The sequence below is a fragment of the Homo sapiens genome, chromosome 3 (genome assembly GCF_000001405.40).
Source record: "Homo sapiens chromosome 3, GRCh38.p14 Primary Assembly".
Taxonomy (NCBI): domain Eukaryota; kingdom Metazoa; phylum Chordata; class Mammalia; order Primates; family Hominidae; genus Homo; species Homo sapiens.
This window is the reverse complement of record NC_000003.12, coordinates 160,676,334-160,697,807: the sequence shown is the minus strand read 5'-3', so window position 1 is coordinate 160,697,807 and position 21,474 is coordinate 160,676,334. Positions and strand designations below refer to the sequence as shown.

At 39.2% G+C, this 21,474-nt stretch overlaps 1 protein-coding gene and 1 non-coding gene across 2 annotated transcripts, besides 1 other annotated feature; both read right to left on the bottom strand.

The window, feature by feature from the left end:
• Positions 1-747: 747 nt before the first annotated feature.
• Positions 748-879, bottom strand: LOC124900554 (small nucleolar RNA SNORA72). Its single transcript, XR_007096301.1, has one exon. It is a non-coding gene; the product is annotated as a small nucleolar RNA SNORA72 (small nucleolar RNA).
• Positions 880-19,359: 18,480 nt separating this feature from the next.
• Positions 19,360-20,648, bottom strand: ARL14 (ARF like GTPase 14). Its single transcript, NM_025047.3, has one exon. It carries the CDS (start codon positions 20,459-20,461, stop codon positions 19,883-19,885), a length of 579 nt encoding a protein of 192 aa, NP_079323.1. The 5' UTR covers positions 20,462-20,648; the 3' UTR covers positions 19,360-19,882.
• Positions 19,962-21,161: an enhancer, noted in NCBI's record as "P300/CBP strongly-dependent group 1 enhancer chr3:160394435-160395634 (GRCh37/hg19 assembly coordinates)". NCBI's record gives its function as "activates an origin of replication core promoter dependent on BRD2, BRD4, P300/CBP, MED14 and CDK7 cofactors, with strong dependence on P300/CBP, by STARR-seq in HCT116 cells {active_cell/tissue: HCT116}" and the evidence as "EXISTENCE:reporter gene assay evidence [ECO:0000049][PMID:35650434]".

Sequence of the window (21,474 nt, the reverse complement as noted above, 5' to 3'; positions counted from 1 at the left end):
ATCTCATTTATATTCTATCTCCAGAACAAGACCTGAATTCACGCCTTTGCCTAAAGTACCAGTTTCTCTGCTTTTCACCTACTTCCATTTTCACTCTACTCATACTGAAAGACCAAACTCAAATGTCACCTTCACCAGGTCTTATTTAGAATCCTCTCTCATTTAACCTGGAGATTGGCCAGAGATGGAGCAAAAAATGTCTGCTAAATAGTGAGTTTTTAAGTTCCATTCTAGGAAATTTAGATTGGATTATTAACCTAAAATTATTTTTCTAGATTATGATCTAAGCAATTAAAGGAGAAAAAGAACTATTAGAATCCTTGAAAATATCATCTTCAATAATATCCTTTGGAAATCAAGCACAGAAAATATTTTTAACACTGTTTTTCTTTAATCAAAGGTATTTTTCACATAAAATAATCTAATATAGTTTGTAAATGCATCTAAGGTAGTACTTATTTTAAATAATTAAACCTTTTGTTATGAGGATTAACTGCTTATTTTTTATTTATTTTTAAATTTTTATATACAGTAATTTTTACAATTCATTTAATAGCAACTGGTACCATCAAATTTCTATACTTTGGTTATCCCTTCTTTAGACAACAGTCTGCAAATTAGCACTGATTTTTTGCAAAAGTTACTATGTTAGCTGTACTGTCATTTTTCTTAAGGTTGACCAAAGATAACCTAGAATCACAGCCATTATATGATTGCACAAAATGATCATATAATATATCAGACCTGGTTTATCACCAGCATTTATAAAACCAGACCTGGGGAAAGAACTAGGTCTAGGGATACATACATGGTCTTAATATTGCGAATGTTTAGCCCATCGTGATTATTACAAAATCAGAACAGCGAGAATATTCACAGTAACTGCTTAATTTAAGTGATAAAACCCCAACGCATGAATAGATAACATGCTGAACTCAATTAAGCGTCCTATTAGCTGAGAAGACATTGGTGAACAGCGTAAGTCAGAGCTTTTCTTGCTGAACTTATGCACTTTCATTTTAATTGGGGGTGGAGAGATGGACAATACACAAATCTTGTATCAAAGTGATTGATATTTAGCATTTTAAATAAGAATGATTGAGTGGCCAGTTTAGAATGCAGGGTCTGGAAAGGCCTGAGAAGGCAATATTCAAGCTGAGATCTAAAAATGAAAAGGAGATGACAGTGGAAAATTCAGGAGGAAGAGCATTCTAAGCAGAAGGCCCTGGAGCACTGTGGGGAGACAGAGTGGTACATGATATTGGAGAAGCGGCACAGATAGATCACGTATTTCCTTGTAAGCAAGCACAAAGAGTGTGGATTTAAATCTCCAAGCAAAGAAGCCCTTGGAAGATTTTACAAAGGGAAGCAATATGATCTAGTTTATTGTTGTTCTTTTTCTTCTTTTTTTAAAAAAAGATCACTTTGGAAACTCTAGCAAACAGATTTGGGGGGCAGAAGGTGAGGCCAACTGGAGGGCAATAGTCAGAGCCACAGATGATTTCGCTCAGAGTAAGATGGTGTTTGTGAAGCTGGAGAAAAGATTAATCCAATTTGGAAGCTGAGTCAAAAGATCTTGTTTATCCACTGGATGAGAGAGAGGATGGGGGAGGAAATTCATTCCAGAATACTACTGCCTATTTATGTACTTCTTAAGATTCTTTGAGACAGTCATAATGTCTGACTGTGTGAAGTTATCAGTGTCAAAATGAAGTCACTTACGTCAAATCTAATGAAATGGAGCCAGGAGGCTATGGAGAAGAAGCCCTCAGGCACCTAAGTTTGTAGCACTAATTATTGCAAGAAATTCCTCAAAATCACAGTATTCCAGATAAACCACTTGCACAAGACACTTGCCTAACAATGGCTGTCTCCACCAATAAGCTAATGCCAACTCCTGCAACAAGCCCCTGTAACCAATGGTCTTTGTTTCAAAGCAGGTTACCTGTAATTCTTTTTTCTTTTAAAAGCCTGCTCTTACCCAAACCTCTTTGGATGCACCTATGGTCTGACATAGAACCCGCATCCCAAATGGTAATTTCTTGCTATTCTCGAATTAACTCTGTTTTGGAGAGTCGGTCTCTCTGCTGTTTATTTTAGATTGACAACTGGTTCCTTTATTAATTAATGAGTTAATTGACACATGTTCGTTTTATGTTTGTATATTTGCATAGATTCTGATTTTACCTTTTAGAAATAATCTTTAACGTTGGAATGGGTTGAGGAATGAATGGGAAATGAGTAGAGGCAACACATGTATACAACTCTTTTTAAAAGTTTAGATTAGAGGTCAAGTTGTTCTTCCATTACCCCTCCAGAGAGGCAGCCTCTACATTGTTCTGTAGAAATAACCAATCCCTATGGCATGCAATCTGAGTGCAACCATCAGACAAGGTGTCCCCAAGGTTCAGACATGGCCCTATAAGTTGGCCAGAGCTATTGGTCACTAAGGCTGATGTCACATCGACTCCACACAAGCCCCACTGCTCTTGGCACCTGCCTCTCCCTCTAGCAAACGAGATTCTGGGTCCTTGGAGGTGAGAACACCCACAGGGTGACGTCAGCATCAGCATGCATCAGCAGCCAGTAGGGCATGACGTCAGTGCGCTGTGTGGGCCAGGAGTAGGGTCTAATCATTGATCTGTAGGCTGCGGCTCAAGGGCAGCCCCAAGTGTGTGGAGGCTGAGGGGCATGACACCACCTCGCTGCAAGGCCCAGGGGTGGGGCTAGGTGCCCCTCTCCCCTTTCTCTGGATCATAGGCCCTGGCAGGGTGAGAGGACGTCAGGGCAGTGTGCTGGTGGACTCTCTGGCCCTTTTGCCACACCATAGTCCCCATGACCGTCAGTGTAGGGAGTATTCACCTTTTAAAATGGAGAGACTGAAGGTTCAGAGGGGTGAACTAACTTGCATATATAATATATCAGACCTGGTTTATCACCAGCATTTATAAAAATTAGATTACATAGCAGAGCTGGATTCTAGATAGTCTAATAATTCTTTTTCTTTAAAAGGAACATAATCATATTTTACTCATGAGATATTTTGAAGTTTAAATTAGGTAATGTACACAAAGCACCTTACATGTCCCTAAAATTCCTGCGTATGTTCCTTACTCATGGCATCTGTCCATCCAACCCGGAGCAGGGACCATTTCTGATTTCTAGCTGGATCTCCAGTAACTCAACACAAAGGAGAAGCAGAGTATACTGAGCAAAAGGCCTGAAGCTAAGATAGTAGATCTTATCAAGCAAAAGATAAGGCCAAATGTAGGTGTCTCAGCTGCACCCTGACAAGCACACACATAGGCACACACCCATACTTGCACCTCTCACCTTATCTTTTTATTGACATCACCCTTCCTATAATTATCCAGACTGAAAATCTGCTATCATTCTGCTCTTTCATGCCTGGCACACTCGGTTAGTCCCTCACTCCATCTCCTATTCCTTCCCTAGTCTCTATTTCCCTTAGATAAGGCCTCCTCAGATGACCTCTAACTTACTCAAATTGCTTCCTTAGTTCAATTAATAAATATTTATTTATGTTTAATAATCATTTAGTTCACCAAATATTTCCAATTTTACCCTTTCCCAGCACATAATGGGATTATACTTCCTGGTCCCTGAGCAGTGAGGTGTTTGAGTAGATGTGACCCACCCCTACCCACCCCACTCTCTTACTTTCAGATACAGCATGTGGTTGCCACTCTAAGGAACTCAAGAGCTCTCTTTTCCTTCTGTCTCAAGAAGGAAATCTCAATAGATTCTGTCTCAAGAAACCGCTTTCTTTGCTCATGTATAAGAAACAACAACTCATTTGCTAAAGTTTGATCATGAGATTACAGAAATTCAGTCACATCTTCAGGCTCCACTTCTAGTTGTAGTTCTCTTGCTATTTCCATCACATCTGCAGTGACCCCCTCCACTGAAGTCTTGAACTCCCTCGAAGTCATTCATTAGGGTTGAAATTGACTTCTTCCAAAGTCCTGTTAATGTTGACATTTTAACCTCCACTAATCACGAATGCTTTTAATAGCACCTAGAATGGTGAACCCTTTCCAGAAGCTTTTCAATGTACTTTGCCCAGATTCATCAGTGAAATCATTATCTATGGCAGCTATAGCTTTACAAAATGTATTTTTTAAATAACAAGACCTAAAAGTAAAAATTACTCCTTGATCCATGGGCTGCAAAATGGATGTTGTCTTAGCAGGCATGAAAACAACATTAATCTCCCTGTATACCCATCAGAGCTTTTGGGTGACTAGGTACATTGTCAATGAGCAGTAATCTTTTGAAAGAAATCTTTTTTTTCTAAGAACTAGGTCTCAATACTGAGGTTAAAATATTCAGCAAACCATGCTGTAAACAGATGTGCTGTCATCTAGGCTTTGTTATTCCATTTCGAGAGCGTAGGCAGAGTAGATTTAGCATAATTTGTAAGGGCCTTAGATTTCTTGGGATGGTAAATGAGCACTGGCTTCAATTTAAATCCACTCTCTGCATTAGCTCCTAACAAAATAATCAGCCTGTTGTTTGAAGCTTTGAAGTCAGGCATTGGCTTTTTCTCTTCTTCTCTCTACCTGTAAAAGTCCCAGATGGCATCTTCTTCCAATAATAGTAGGTTGTTTCATCTGCATTGAAAATGTATTGTTTAATGTAGCCATCTTCGTCAATTATCTTTACTAGATCTTCTAGGTAACTTGCTGCAGCTTCTCCATCAGCACTTGCTGTTTTACCCTGCACTTCTATGTTACAGAGATGACTTCTTTCCTTAAACCTCGTGAACCAACTTCTGCTAATTTCAAACATTTCTTTTGCAGCTTCCTCACCTCTCAGCCTTCACAGAATTCAAGAAGCCTTGCTCTGGATTAGGCTTTGGATGAAGGGGATACTGTGATTGGTTTGATCTTCTATTCCTGACCACTAAAACTCGTCTCCACATCAGCAGTGAGGCTGTTTCACTTTCTTTTCATTCATATGTTCATTGGAGTAGTAGTTTTAATTTCCTTTAAGGACTTTTTCTTTGCATTCCCAACTTGGCTGTTTGGTGCCAGAGGCCTAGCTTTTGGCCTGTCTTGGCTTTCAACATGGCTTCCTCCCTAAGTTTAATCACTTCTAGCTTTTGATTTAAAGTGAAAGACATGGACTCTTTCACTTCAACACTTAGAGGCCATTGTAGGGTTATTAATTGGCCTAATTTCAATATTCTTGTGTCTCAGGGTATAGGGAGACTTGAGGAGAGGGAGAGAGATGGGGGAATGGCCAGTTGGTGGAGCGGAAAGAACACACACATTTATTGATTACCGTCTTATATGGACAGGGTTCAAGGTGCCACAAAACAGTTACAGTAGCAATATCAAATATCACTAATCATAGATCACCATAACAGATATAATAATAATGAAAACATTTGAAATATTGTGAGAATTACCAAAAAGGGTCACATAGACATGAAGTGAGAAAGTGCTATTGGAAAAATGGTGCTGATAGGCTTGCTGGATGCCGGGTTGCCACAAACCCTCATTTTATGAAAAGAAAATACCTGCGGGGTATAATAAAACAAGGCACGGCAAAATAAAGCATGCCTGTATAAGGACTTAAATATTTATCCAATGAATGATGGCTCATTGTATCCTTCAAGGCTCATTAAAAATGCTGTTGCTACTTTAACAAATTACCACAAAATTAATGGCTAAAACAACACAAAAGTATTATCTTGCGCTTTTATAGGTGTTAGCAGAGCTGCATTTCTTTTTGGCAGATCTAATGTAGAATCTGTTTCCTTGCTTTTCCCAGCCTCTAGAAGCTGCCCACATTCCTTGGCTCATGGCCCTAATATTCCATCTTCACAGCCAGCAGTGAGCATCTGAGCATCTTTCAGAGTCTCATCCCCTTCTAACTCTGAACTCAGTTGGGAAAGGTTCTCTGATTTTAAAGATTGATGTAATTATTTTGGGCTCACTTGGATAATTCAGGATAATCTCCTCATCTCAACATCCTTAATCACTTTTTCCTTTTACCATGTGAGGTAACGTATTCATAGTTCTAGGGGTTAGAACATGGACATCTCTGTCGGGTGGTGAAGGCAGCATTATTCTGCCTACTATATTTCGGAGTCTTTCCTTGTTTTTCTCTCTAGCTTGGCATTTACCCCTAAATATTAGCCAAGTGAAGACTTTTCTAAAAAGCATCAGGGGTTCCACAAAAAGTAGGGTAATCATATAATTTATTGTCCACACTGAGACACTTTTGAGAATGAAAGGGGACACCATTGATATGTACACCAGGACTCAGGTGTACACTTGACTGACTGGACGTGGCAGAATGAAGTGAATGTGTGACCTGTGGAGTTGGAGTTAAGTTAAAGCAACATTATTATGGACTTCTACCCTCTAGCCTGATCTTGGAGAGAGATCAAGAAGATACTGGGAGGCTTTACTTTCCTCAGAAAATTCATGCCTTAGGCTGGAGATGGGATGCTTTATCTGGTTCAACAGGCTAAGCAGGATCTTTTTCTCTTCTGCTTTAACAATAAAAAATATAAAGCTTTTATTAAGAACATTAGACTTTTATCTTTTATCTGTGATATATCCCAGATTGACATGTGTCTTTTGACTTTGTTTATGATGAAGCCTTCTTTAGCAAAGTAGTTTCAATATATTTTGTAGCCACTTAACCAAAGATATAAAGAATTCAAAGTGACAAAACTAGGGATCTGCCTCATATTGGACTTGTAAATGGTGATTTTCAGCTTTGGAGAGAAAGGAAAAACATACTAAAGAATTTCACAGCTTTTCCCTTATCTTATCAAGGCTTTCCATTGCAAACTCTGTTAGTCTTAGAACCAGAAGATATTTCAGAAAATCACCTTCATATACCCAGAGTCGGTTACTGCTTTGCAGTTGCAAAATAGTAGCTTTCCAATTCTATCACACCCTCTACTTTTTCTGTATAAAAGAGCTTTCCTTTCTCCTCACCCCAAACTTTTTCTTTCCTTTGCTTCTTCTTATATTTTCAATGAATATCACTATGGATTTATGGGTTTTATTTTCATTTATTTAATGTATGTTATCCATTACCATATATATATGGTAATTTTTTTTAATGGTAATTTTTTTTTTTTTTTAGACAGAGTCTCGCCCTGTCACCCAGGCTGGAGTGCAGTGGTGTGATCTTGGCTCACTGCAACTTCCATCTCCTGGGTTCAAGCGATTCTCCTGCCTCAGCCTCCTGAGTAGCTGGGTTTACAGGCACATGCCACCATGCCTGGCTAAATTTTGTATTTTTAGTAGAGACAGGGTTTTGCCATTTTGGCCAGGCTAGTCTAGAACTCCTGACCTCAGGTGTTCTGCCTGCCTCGGCCTCCCAAAGTGCTGGGATTACAGGCTTGAGCCACGGTGCCCATTCTATATTCTTCTTGTTTTTTTTTTAAAGACAGAGTCTCGTGTTGTCACCCAGGCTGGAGTGCAGTAACATGATCTTGGCTCACTGCAACCTCGGCCTTCCAGGTTCAAGCAATTATCGTGCCTCAGCCTCCCAAGTAGCTGGGACTACTGATGTGTGCCACCACACCTGGCTAATTTTTTTTATTTTTTGGTAGTGACGAGGTGTTGTCATGTTGGCCAGGCTGGTCTTGAACTCCTGACCTCAAGTGATCTGCCCACCTCAGCCTCCCAAAGTGCTGGGAGTACAGGCATGAGCCACTGCGCCCAGCACTATATTCTTTTTTGATGCTCAAATTGTCTCAGATTTGGCCCGTTGGAGTCCTTTAAGCTGCTCTAGTAAACTTTTGACCTGTCTCTGTCAGTCTTTGGGTTCTCTCTTGTTCTCTGGCACAAGAGAGTTGTAGGTCCACTTTACCTGCCCCTGACCCGAACGGTCATTTCTCCAAAGAGCTCAGGCTCCTGTCAGTAGGGAATAATATTTAGAAACCAAGATCTGGGCTTTAGGTATACCCACTGCTGCTGGGTGTCATTGCCTCTTGGCCCTTTTAGTTTCCTTTTGGCATGTCCCTTTCTCATTCTTTGTTTGGCTGAGTAGTTTTTCACTCTTGGAATATACCTTAAAAAAAAATCAGTCTCCTATAGAAGAACATTTAGGACTTCCGACATTTCGCTATTACGAAGAATACCACAATGAATAACCCTGCACATATGTTTCTTCAGGTGTATGGTTGTGTATCTTCAGGAAAATTTCCTACAAATGAGATTGCTACATTAAAAGGTAAGTGCAAATGTGGCTTTGTTAGATTTTGCTAAATTCTCCTCCACAGAGGTCATGCCGTTTTGTATTTCCACCAGCATTTGATGAGAGTATTCATTTTCCCACAGCCTTACTAACAGAATTATGGAATGGTATCAAACTTATACATTTTTGCAACCTTGTGAGAAATGGTGCCTAAATGTAGTAATAATTTGCATTTCTGTAATGCAAGAAGAAGCAGCTGAGGATTTTGACCTACTAAAGGGCCATTTGAATATCATTTATTAACTGTGTACATGCTTTTTGTACATTTTTCTAGAAGGTTTTGGTTCTTTTTTTCTTGATTTTTGTGTTCTTTTATATTAGGAACATAAGATCCTGGTCTATGATATATATTAATTCTAATATTAATATTTTATAACATTTGTCTTTTGACTTTGTTTATGTTTGCTGCAATTTCTTTCATTTTTACATAGTCCAGTTTAACAATATTTTTATTTATTGTGTCTGGACTTTGAGTTATAATTGGGTAAAAACTGCTACTAATTTTGGCATTAATTTTTTTCATACTATTAGTAATTTGAATTCTGACAAATGTATCTACTTACTTTGATGTAATAATGCTATAGTCATTAGTCATCTAATGATAACGTTTTCATGCCTCGTTTTTACCTTCTTTCTGTCTTTTTAAAGAATTCATTTAGATTAATCTGACATCGATTTTTAGAAAGCAATTTGGCAATATGTATCGAGGCATAAAACATGTTCTCGTTTTTCAACATTGAACTACTATCCTAGGGGAAAAATCCTAAACTCAGTACTTAACACAGGGCCTGGTATTTTTATTAGGTTTTCAATCAATATTTGCTGAATGAAGTAATAAATATGGGGGTGGCAGTACATGCATGAAAATGTTTTTGCTGAATTATTTACAATATGAAAAATTGACTGCAGTGTAAAAAACGAATGGTAGAGAAATGGTTAAAAACATGTAACTGTGTGCAACTACCTAAACATTTAATATGATATGTCTACTACATTGGAAATGAGGTAACACTGAAAATTAATGGTTCTAAAAGATATACAACATGGTGAAGGTACATAATATGTGAATGTGATGATAGAAGAAAAAAATCGAATTCCCAAATTATCAAAAATGATATATTGAGACAAATACTACATGATCTCACATAAATGAGGAATCTCAAAAAGTTGAACTCATAGAAGCAGAGAGTAGAATGGTGATTACCAGGCTTGGTGCAGGTAGATATTGGTCAAAAGATACAAAATTTTACTCAGGAGGAATGAGTTCAAGAGCTCTATTGTACAACATGGTGATTATAGTTTATAACAATGTATTGTATAACTGAACATCACTAACAGAGTAGATTTTGTGTTCTCACCACAGAAAAATAAGTATGTGAGGTAATGCATATATTAATCGAGCCATCCCAAACTGTATACATATTTCAAAATGTCACATTGTGCATTATAAATATATACAATTTTTATTTACCTGTTAAAAAATAAATACAATTTTAAATGATACATTGAATTATATACACACTGAAGAAGAATTAAGACTGCAAGAAAATGCAGCAAAATGCTAATAGCTATATTTACCCATTTTTTCTAACTTTCTGTAATTTTATGATATATTTCTGATGAAGAAACAAAATTTTATTAAATATCAATTCTCTGCTCCCTAGCTGTCCTTATACTCCGAGTATAGCAATAGAGAAAGTATTTGGGTTTTTTTAGTTTTTGGTTTTTGGTTTTTTCTTTCTTTTTTTTTTTGAGATGGAGTTTCATTCTTCTTGTTGCCTAGGCTGGATTACAGTGGCGCAATCTCAGCTCACTGCAACCTCCACCTCACAGGTTCAAGCGATTCTCCTGACTCAGCCTCCTGAGTAGCTGGGACTACAGGCGCACACCACCATGCCCAGCTAATTTTTGTATTTTTGGTAGAGATGGGGTTTCACCATATTGGCCAGGCTGGTCTTGAACTCCTGACCTCAAGTGATCTGTCTGCCTCGGCCTCCCAAAGTGCTGAGAATACATGCATGAGCCACTGCACCCGGCTGAGAAAGCATTTGATAATATGAAGCAGGCCATGGCTTAAGGGAGAATTAAACCTTTGCACAGAAGTACAGTATAGAATTCTCACCAAGCAACTGATAGTGAAAGCTTGATTATGTATAAAAGACCACAGTAAACGCTTTTCACAATTTTAGGTGGCTGCATAGCTTTGAGTCTCAGATCTCTTCACTGTACTAATGGGGATAACAAGGGTAGTCCACAGATTCAATGTGAGGATTAAATGAGATAATACATATAAATGCTAATAACAGAACCCGGACTACAGTAAATTTTCAATACATGTTAACTGTTTTGGTTATTGGATTTGCTTTTCTTTAATTATTAATACTTGGTTACAGTGCCCCCATGTGTCTATACATTGCAATACTTCTGGTCTTTAAAAGGACTTCTTAATACTTTAGATTAATGCATTTGAAATGACAGTTCTAAGGCCATACAAGCATTGTCCACTCGTGTTTTATATACGCTATGAAGATTAAACAGCTCCTTTAAAAATAAAGTGTGTTATCCCCGAATATAAAAGTAACACATGCTCACTGTAGAAACTTTGGAAAATATTGAGAACTGTACAGAATTCCAGTCACCTATGTACAACTACCTAGATATTTTATATATTCTATATGTTAATTTTTACAAATTGGGATCTGTGCATTTGTATGTTAAATTTTAGAATACATGTAAAATACATTATTAAAGCAAGAGCAGAAATAAAACTATGAGGCTACTGGGGGTTATCCCATTGTAAACAGAAGCTGGTGTCATCACTATGGTCTCTTACGTCCCTCATTTATAGGCAATTAAAGTAGGTATATTAAACTCGAGTGGAAAAATGCTTTAAAGTGAAAGAAAGTCCAATCTGACTTAGAAGTACAATGTTGTATTACATTATACCTTACGTATAACTTGAGGAGAGTTGTGTAAGAATCAGTTTGTTGGCCGGGTGCGGTGGCTCACTCCTGTAATCCCAGCATTTTGGGAGGCCGAGGCAGGTGGATCACGAGATTAGGAGATCAAGACCATCCTGGCTAACGTAGTGAAACCCCATCTCTACTAAAAATACAAAACATTAGCCAGGCACGGTGGCAGACGGCTGTAGTCCCAGCTACTCGGGAGGCTGGGGCAGGAGAATAGCGTGAACCCAAGAGGCAGAGGCTGCAGTGAACCGAGATCACGCCACTGCACTCCAGCCTGGGTATGAGCTTTAAAGCTCATATTTAAAGCTCATCATCAATGGAGGCCAAAACCATTAAGTGAAAGGCTTTTGGTGAATGGGATATTCAAAAGCTCTCAAAAGATCATATTTATCATTTCAAATAGATAACAAATTGTGTCTGTTCTGAACATGTACAGACCCTTTTTCTTGCCATTATTCTTTAAACAATACAGTATAACAACTATTTACATAGCATTTACATTGTATTAGGTATTATAAGTAATCTAAAAATGATTTAAAGTGTATAGGAGGATGTGGGTTGGTTATATGCAAATACTATGCCATTTATATCAAGGACTTGAGTGTCCTCAGATTTTGGTATCCTGGGGAGGTCTTGGAACCAATTCTCCATGGATACTGAGGGAGGATTGTATAACAGTGTTGGTCACAACACAAATTCCTAGACATCCCCTACCTCCAACCAAGATTCTGATTAGTTAGTCTGGGGTGGTGGAGAGGGAGGGAGCAGGAATTTACATTTCTAAGCAGCTCACAGGCAATGCTGGTGATGCTGATCCATGGACCTGACTTTAAATAGCACTGAATTATAAAACTTTGAAATTACAAAGTGTCTGTGAGTCCATAGTGATGAGAAAGAGAGAGAGATAAATGATGGAGAAGGGTGATAAAGCTCATATTTATAGAGGAATGCCAGCTAGCAAATGTCAAGGAATTATAGATTTAGGGGGAAAATCACCATTTTGTAGTTCCCAATGCAATAACTGATTCAGGTAAAGATCATCAATGGAGGCCAAAACCATTAAGTGAAAGGCTTTTGGGGAATGGGATTTTCATAAGCTCTCAAAAGATCATATTTATCATTTCAAATACATATCAAATCACTTACTAACAGTGGAGGAAAACAATTATATTTTTATCATGGGAAAAGCTAGTAATAAATTTAGTGTCACCAATAATAGGACAAACTGACACTATGTATTCCCTAGTGGATACAGTGGGAAGTACAATAGCATCTGTAGAATATTCTTGCCAAAAATGTTTAACCTGAATCTAATCATGAAGAAGCAGACAAATCCAGACTGTGGGACATAAATTGTCTGGCTTGGACCTTAAAAATTTCTAGGACGTGAAAAACTAGGAAAAGGTGGGGAAAATATTCTAAATTGAAAGTGACATAGCCAAATGCAATAGATTCTGGATCAAACAAATTCTACAGATGATATTGGGTATCCTGGGGGAATTTGGTTATAGACTGTTTAATAATATTTAATTAACGCTTGAAATTTTATGTGTAAATTAATGGCATTGTGGTTATATAGGAGAAGGGCGATTCTAAGGAGATACACGATAAAGTATTTACGTGCGAAGTGTCAGGATGATTGCAACTGTGTGTGTGTGTGCATGTGTGTACATGTGTAGCGGGAGGTGGGGGGGGGTAGAAAGAGAGAGAGAGAGAGAGAGAGAAACAGGAAGAGAAAAGAAGCCCAAATATGTTTACATAGGAGAAGGGTGATTCTAAGGAGATACACGATAAAGTACTTATGTGTGAAGTGTCAGGATGATTGCAACTGTGTGTGTGTGTGCATGTGTGTACATGTGTAGCAGGAGGTGGAGGGGGGGATAGAAAGAGAGAGAGAGAGAGAGAAACAGGGAGAGAAAAGAAGCCCAAATATGTTTACATAGGAGAAGGGTGATTCTAAGTAGATACACAATAAAGTACTTACATGTGAAGTTACAGGATGATTGCAACTGTGTGTGTGTGTGTGCGCATGTGTAGCGGGAGATGGTGGAGGGGAGAGAGAGAGAAACAGGAAGAGAAAGAAGCCCAAATATGGCAAAATTGTAATGATTGGTGAATTTCAGTGAAAAGTACATTGGTGTTAATTTTACCCTCTCTTTCAAATTCTTGAAGGTTTGGCATTTTACAAAATAAAAAGTTGAGGAAAAATTAAATTCCCTCTTCCCTGTCTGTTCTGGGATGAGCCAAATGAGGGTGCTAGCTAGAATGGGTAGAAGGAGACAGGTAAGGGGATTTGCAAAGAAGAGAAAATTGGAAAAAAGGGTCTAGGTACACAAAGGAGGAGCAGGGACCATGATTCTAGTTTATTAGGATCATTTAACAGCAGGGGCTATAACAACTTCCAGATCCCCATGGCTTAACACAATAAAAGGTTCTTTCTGGTTCAAGTCACTGTTCTAGTTGAGAAAACTGACTCAGAGAGGCAATCTGCCTAAAAGCCAAAGCAGGTGACAACCAGCATTCCTACCCAGTTATGATTCCAAAGCCTGTATTCGTTTTAGTGCAGCACACTGCTCCTGAGAAGAAGGACTTTCCTATGGTATCCTTAGATTAGAACGGAACTGTCCTAGGTCCCAATCTGCCATGCTTTTTACTTTTCATTGTTGGATCCATATTCTGTCGCCAAGAGGCAGTTGCAGGCCCTGATAAGGCCTCACTTTAGGGTTCAGAGCATTCCTTTATTTGTTCTACAAATATCTTTTAAATACCTCTCATGTCTTAAGCACAGTTCTAGGATACAACAGTGAGTAAGACACAAAGTCCCTGCTCTTTGAAGCATACTTTCTAGGGCGGGAAAGAAACAATAAGAAAGTACATGAGTAGGCCAGGCGCTGTGGCTCACGCCTGTAATCTTAGCACTTTGGCAGGCTGAGGTGGGCGGATCACAAGGTCAAGAGTTCGAGACCAGTCTGACCAACATGGTGAAACCCTGTCTCTACTAAAAATACAAAAATTAGCCAGGCGTGGTGGCACGCACTTGTAATCCCAGCTACTCAGGAGGCTGGGGCAGGAGAATCGCTTGAACCTGGGAGGCGGAGGTTGCAGTGAGCCGAGATCGCACCACTGCACTCCAGCCTGAGTGACAGGGAGAGACTCCATTTCAAAAAAAAAAAAAAAAAAGAAAAAGAAAGTACATGAGTAAATTAGAGGTAGGGAATGGCAAGGAGTGTAAGGCTCATTTACATAAGGATTCAGAAAACACCCCTCTACTCTACACTTTTGGTTGGAGACCTACAAAATTTGAAGACCTGAGGAAAGTATATTCTAAGTTGAAGAACAGCAAGTTTAAGAGCTGTGGGGCAGTAATGAGCTGGGAGTGACAGAAGGGCATTGAGGCAGGTGTGGCTGGATGGGGAGAGAGGTGGGATAAGTAGAAAGTGGGCATCAGCTAGGGAAAGAAGTGAATGGAGAGGTTTAAAGCAGGTAAATGATGTAATCAGATGTTCATTTTTAGAAGAAGTCCTTCTTGGCAGAATTCTGTATGGAGAATGCAGCCATCCAGGTGAGAATTGGTGGTGGCCTCGTGGTAGTGGGATTGAGAAGTGGTCAGAAGGGAGAGGTATTTTGAAGGGTGAACTGAAAGGATTTACTGGTGGATGTAGGATACAAGGGGGAAAGGAAGATATCTTTTAGTTTTTTGGCCTAAGAAACACCATAACCCCTAGACCCATTTAGTTTCTAGAAACAAAGAGATTTAATAGTAAAACCTATATGTGCCACATTATAGCTAAATTCATTGTATCATAATATTTACTTGTGTGTGTGTGTTTGTTTGTTTGTTTGAAACAGAGTCTTGCTCTGTCACCAGGCTGGAGTGCAGTGGCACGATCTCGGCTCACTGCAACCTCTGCCTCCCAGGTTCAAGTGATTCTCCTGCCTCAGCCTCCCGAGTAGCTGGGACTTCAGGCATGTGCCACCAGGCCCAGCTAATTTTTGTATTTTTAGTAGAGATGGGGTTTCACCATGTTGGCCAGGATGGTCTCGATCTCTTGACCTCGTGATCTGACTGCCTCAGCCTCCCAAAGTGTAGGATTACAGGCGTGAGCCACCGCGCCTGACCTATGTGTGTGTGTGTGTGTGTGTGTGTGTTTAATCTTGGAAATCAGAGGACTAGGTTTGGTAACTGCTTAATTAGTTTCCTCATATCCTTAAAATAGTGTTGATATTTGTTATGCCTCCCTCATAAGATTTTGAGCGAATAAAATGAGATAATATTTGTGAAAATACTGCTCATATGGTTAAGTCATCTAATAACCATCTTTTCTATTTGTGTGGTACTTTCAAGGTAAAGTGTGGTATCTTATGCTTAAAGTAATTCAACACTGCGCTAAAAATCTGGTGGACTGGAATCCCTGTGACATTATTAGGTTATATTATTACGTAAAAATATTTATTGGCACTGCCAAAGGAGGTCTCTCTATTTCTGGCTGTCCCTTTGTGTCTGTCTCTATCTCTGTTGTGAGAGAGCTCATGCAAGCGAGAGCCGGCCAACTCAAGGTTTGCAAAGCAGAACACAGCAGAGGGTCGCTCTTTTTAGGTTAGTTCCTCCACATAGTCAACACACTGCAGGAATTCAGTCGGCCTCCAAGACTGTCCCTCAGTACCACCTACCGGGAGCTAGAACTGCAGGGCTCTTTCCATACCTGGTCTTCCTTAGTTTCGTAAAACCCAGTTTGTTCATTATCAGAACATAGTCATGTTCGGCTTTTTAAACTGACAAATTAACTTTAATGTATGTCAGTCATGGCTGGGCACAGCGGCTCATGCCTGTAATTCCAGTACTTTGGGAGGCTGAGGAGATCAGATCACCTGAGGTCAGGAGTTTGAGACCAACCTGGCTGACATGGTGAAAACCCCTTCTCTACCAAAAATACAAAATTACCCAGGTGCGCTGGCACACGCCTGTAGTGTCAACTACTTGGGAGGCTGAGACAGGAGAATCACTTGAACCCAACAGATGGAGGCTGCAGTGAGCTGAGACCACACCACTGCACTCCAGCCTGGGTGAGACAGGGCGAGACAGAGCGAGACTCTGCCTTAAAAATATATATGTATATATATACGTATATATGTGCGCATATATACGTATATATGCGCATATATATGTATATATATACACACACACACACATCAGTCACTATGTGTGTTTTATTTATTCACCATTATTTATTCTTATGCCCTGTCAAGATTTTTTTCATCTACAATACTTAGAAAATCAGATAGAAATATTTATCTGATATTCACTTTTCAGAAAATTTAACTGATATTTACCTTAATGTTAAAGATTTAAGATTTATTCTGTAAATCTTTAGCCAAGGAATATTTCAGAAGTGTTATGCTTTTGTTACTATTAAATCCATGGCAGCATGCTATTTTGATAAGTTAAAAGTTTTACCTTGTTACAGATAAATGACAGAGTAAAATCGCATGGGATTTGGGATTTTTGTTAATTAGTAATTAGATTTTAGTTACTCTTGTCACGCACAAGAAAGTCACAATGTGAGATGATAGATATGTTAATTTGCTTTACTATAGTAATCATTTTAGCATCTATATGTGTCCCAAAACATCATAACATAAACCTTAAATATACACAATAAAATTCATTTTAACGAATACACAAAATAAAATAAAAATATAAAGATAAACACCTGGAAGGAATGCACAAAATAAAAATAATATAAAATGTATTAAAATAATAAATATCAAGCCTCTTTCCTCTCATCTGCCAAGAAATATTTTGCTATTGTCCACCTAGTTTTTTCCCGTCCCTCAGGCTTTATTAGTAGACCAGGGTGAAGAGTGCACGGCTGTGTGTGTGCACATGTGCATGCGTGTGTGTGTGTGTGTGTGTGTGCGTGCGCGTGCATGTTGGAGGACAGACAAGATCATACTGCAGAGAGCAGGAGGGAATTGCCAAATAAAGACTGATAAAATTAACTCAAAAAGAAAGCTTCGAGACCAGCCCGGCTAGGCCAACACAGTGAAACCCTGTCTCTACTAAAAAATACAAAAATTAGCCAGGCATGGTGGTGCGCACCTGTAGTCCCAGCTACTAGGGAGGCCGAGGCAGGAGAATTGCTTGAACCTGGGAGGTGGAGGTTGCAGTGAGCCGAGATCGTGCCACTGCACTCCAGCTTGGGCGACAGAGTGAGACTCCGTCTCAAAAAAAAAAAAGAAAGAAAGCAAGTGACTGATGGAGGAAAATAGACTGGAACCCTGGATCCCAGGGAAGAAAGGAGTAAAGCATGAGGAGGGTACACGTTCTGGGGAGAATATTAACAGGGATTTTAAGGAATAGCTGTTATATGGGGGGGAGATGTTGAAATGACAGGAAAAGGCTACTTTATAAGTTTTGTTCTACATGAAGAATGTATTTGCCCACCACACCCAACACATACACCCAGGGGCTTTCTGAAGTGAAGATTTGAGTTCCTTTCAGTATTTTAACAGGCTGTTTTCTTCAACTTTTAACATCATGCCAAGACTGGGCCATAAGGGGCTTGACTTAATTCAGATTACCAAGATACACGAGCACCAGAGGGCATTTTTTTTTTTGAAGTAAGTTAGTGACTTCCAATTTAAGATTACTAAGAAGATTCCATAAAAACACACACAGAGAAATTGTAAGGGAAGATATGTACTTGAGATTTTAATTATGTTCTGAAACAGGAAAAGCTCTACTATGAAACGTTTAACATTGACAACCCCCTGAGATCTTCCTGAAATCAGAAACTTTTTGCCAGTCTTCCATGTTTTTTATATCTGTTATTGAAGTTAATTTATTCTGCCTAGTTTAATTTTTCTAAGAACCTTTTTATTATAAAAGTAATATATGTTGACCTGATTTATTCTTAATTGCATGTGGTAAGTTCACTGAAGACAGAGACTATACCTTATTTGTAAAACAATGTCAGGACACCTAACAGCACAGACCCTGGAGTCAGACACACCTGAATTTGAATCTTGGCTCTGCTGCTACTCCCCAGTTAAATACCAAGTAGTTTTTTTGTGGTGGTTGTTGTGTAATCTTGTTTAGACTCAGTACACTCATCTTTAAAATTTAGATAATGCCTATTTCTCTTCGGGCAGTTGTGAACATTAAATGGGAAGATGTATGAAAGTGTTTAGCACACAGTGCCTGGCACCCACAAGTATTCATCCCACAGTAACTATTATTACTTGTATGTCTAGTTTATTATTTGAATCTCTACCATGTAGCACAGAAGGCAGTGCTCAGATCTTTGCTGAACAAATAGCTAAGATGAGAGAAGAAAATCATGAGAGGAATCCAAGGGCTGGCACCCTTGGTTTATTATACCCCTTTTTTTCCTCTGTGACCTTAAGATTTGGAGTCCTAGGGGCTGCTATGGACGCTTGAGCTCTGCTTCCAGCCCCAAATGAGCCTTGTTGGAAGTGGGGTAGGAGGAAAGTGTTGTCTGTTTGTACCAGGGCTTCCCTGGGAGTTCTGAGCTTCTCAGGGGAATTCCATCCCAATCTCCAGCTTCTTTGCCCACTCACCTGCCCTCCTGTCCAATGCCTCTGGAAAGTTTCCTAGTGATGGTAACTTCCAGTGACTAACCTGTACCTTTGTAGGGTCACTGGGAGTGAGGGACCCTCTAAAATACCATCTCCTGCATGAAACATTTCTTGTTTCCCTGGTTAAAAAGAGTATCTCCTGCAATCGCACTTAGCACTTATTGCCCTACTCTAGCTACTAGCTTTATGTTGTTTCCTGCTGTGAATTGTAGGTCTCTGAGAGCAAAGTCTAGGTCTGGTTCCTGTTTGATCAGTACAATGAGCTGCACATATGTTTCCAAGCAATGGCTGTTAAGCTGAATTCCAAGGAAGCAAGACTCGGGGCTGTAGCCTAGAGCTAAGCCCTGAGCCCAGATCTTGCCCTAAACTCCAAGGTGCTACCCCGATCACCAGACCTTTAAGTTTATACACTTCTGCTCCCTATGGCAGAACACAGGCTCTGAGCAATTAGCAGCCTGAAGTTCATTGTTTAAGATTCATTGGAGGAAGTTCCCAGCAATAGATTTCAAAAAGCTGGCAGGAATCCAGAAGAACAGCTTTATTTAGGGAATAAGAAAGCTTTATTTAATAGGGAATACGAATTTACAAGATATTAACATTACGCTTTTTCCACTCCATAATTTGAAGTTCATTTTTTACACCACCCAGCTGTTACATAGGAGCACGGTGGAAATTCAATACCTGTTACAGCTGGAAACAATCTGGAAGAATTCTGACTCTATTAGCAGACAGCTTACTAAAACTTTGTTCTAGTAGTCATATAAAATAATTTATTTGGTCCCAAGTGTCACTACTATATTCAAAGTCATCCAATGTGATAACAAAAATTGTAGAACATTATACGTTTTCATTCCCAGTGATCATTGCCACAGTTTGCTAAAGTTCCTGGCTGAAAATAAATATTTTCTAGATATCATTCTAAGTTGTTTAACTAAATGTAGATGAAATAACATCTCAGGAAAAGTTTGTCAACTCATTAATTTGATTTCCTCATTTGGCATGGAAAAACAATTACCCTTTCAACTTCATCAGTGTCTCTGTAGAGACTTGGATTTTTCGCAGCCTCAGTTCTGCTTGAAGAACGCCAAAGTGTCTCCTCTTGATTTCATGTGGCTCTTCACAAATCCAGTTAATTTCCTGAACCCCTGGGCCAGCCCCTCCCCTGTGAGGGCACAGCAGGGTTGCACATACCAGTTCCGGTCACTGCAAAGCTTCTTCACTTTGAACATTCTGGTGATGTCCTCAGCAGTCAGAGCTCCAGGCATGTCTTGTTTGTTGGCTAATAGAACAACAGGCACATTTTTAATGTGTTCATTCTTCAAAATGTGCTCAAACTGTCTCTGAGACTCTTCCAGTCGCTGTTTGTCTGTACTGTCCACAACATACACCAGCCCATCGGTGTTCTCACAGTAACAGCCCCAAACAGTTCTCATTTTTTCCTGTCCTCCAACATCCCAGACTGTGAGTGAAAGATTCCTTTCCAACTCGATCATTTCCACATTGAAACCTATTGTAGGGATGGTGGTAATATCCTTAGCAAGCTTTAATTTATAAAGGAGAGTAGACTTCCCAGCTGAGTCAAGTCCCAAAAGAAGAACTTGGGCTTGTTTGGTTTGCGGATTTTTAGAACCCAGCGAACCCATTTCAGCCTTTTTCTCTCTCTGTCTCTAAATACCTTTTTTTTTTTTCTTTCTTTCTTTCTTCGAATGGCCAGAGACAATGTGTCCTTTCTGGATCTCACATGAAAATGTTAGGAAGAAAGAAGAAAGCAAATTCTTCATGCTGTATTCTAAGAACAAGAACCTAGATGTGTTTATGTTGTAGCTTATCAACTTGATTATGGGCAAACAGTATTTTATTTGCAGTCCCAGCCAATCCTGAGGGATCTGTGGTATGAGTAACCAGCCAATGCCATGGTGACTCAAAGGGGAAATTCTCTGTGAATGAGTAAGATTAGGAGAGGCCTACCTGGCTGATGCTGCAGTTTTGTTTTCTTTCAGGTGCTAGAAATCTAGAGGAACCTGAAGGTTCAGACACGCAGAGGAGCATGGTTTAGTAGCAGAATAAAAACTTAACTTTTCATTTTAACTAACTTTTAACTTAAATTTAACTAAACTTTTTGTGTAACTTTTTGTGGAACTTCTCTAGGTATTCAACCATTTATCTTATCCCAGTTGTAAATAAGGAACCAGGCTTCTTAAGTTGTGAAGAGAGAGTTATTCTCACACTCTGTCTGCAGTATCTTAAATCCGCCTTGTTCAGATTACTCAGTAGGAAACTTTAAACCACTCAAGGTTATCTGAACCTTACTCCCTAATCACATACAGAATCACTTTCTTTAAAATTCTAGGCAGAGAATTTACACTACTGCAGTCACAAAACCAAATATATGAGGGGGAATTTATAACACGAACAGTTTTACATTAAGCAGTCCAATTAAAGATGGCAAATAAAAACATGCATTTATTTCCTCTCCTTCCCAAGACTCCACAGAATAATGGTAAAGGCATTAAAAGAACATATAGGCCAGGCATGGTGGCTCACGCCTGTAATCCCAACACTTTGGGAGGCCGAGGTGGGTGGATCATGAGGCCAGGAGATCAAGACCAGCCTGGTCAACATGGTAAAACCCCATCTCTACTAAAAATACAAAAAA

Excerpts from the sequence above, each read along its gene's own strand:
- ARL14 (NM_025047.3), bottom strand. The coding sequence starts at position 20,461 with ATGGGTTCGCTGGGTTCTAAAAATCCGCAAACCAAACAAGCCCAAGTT.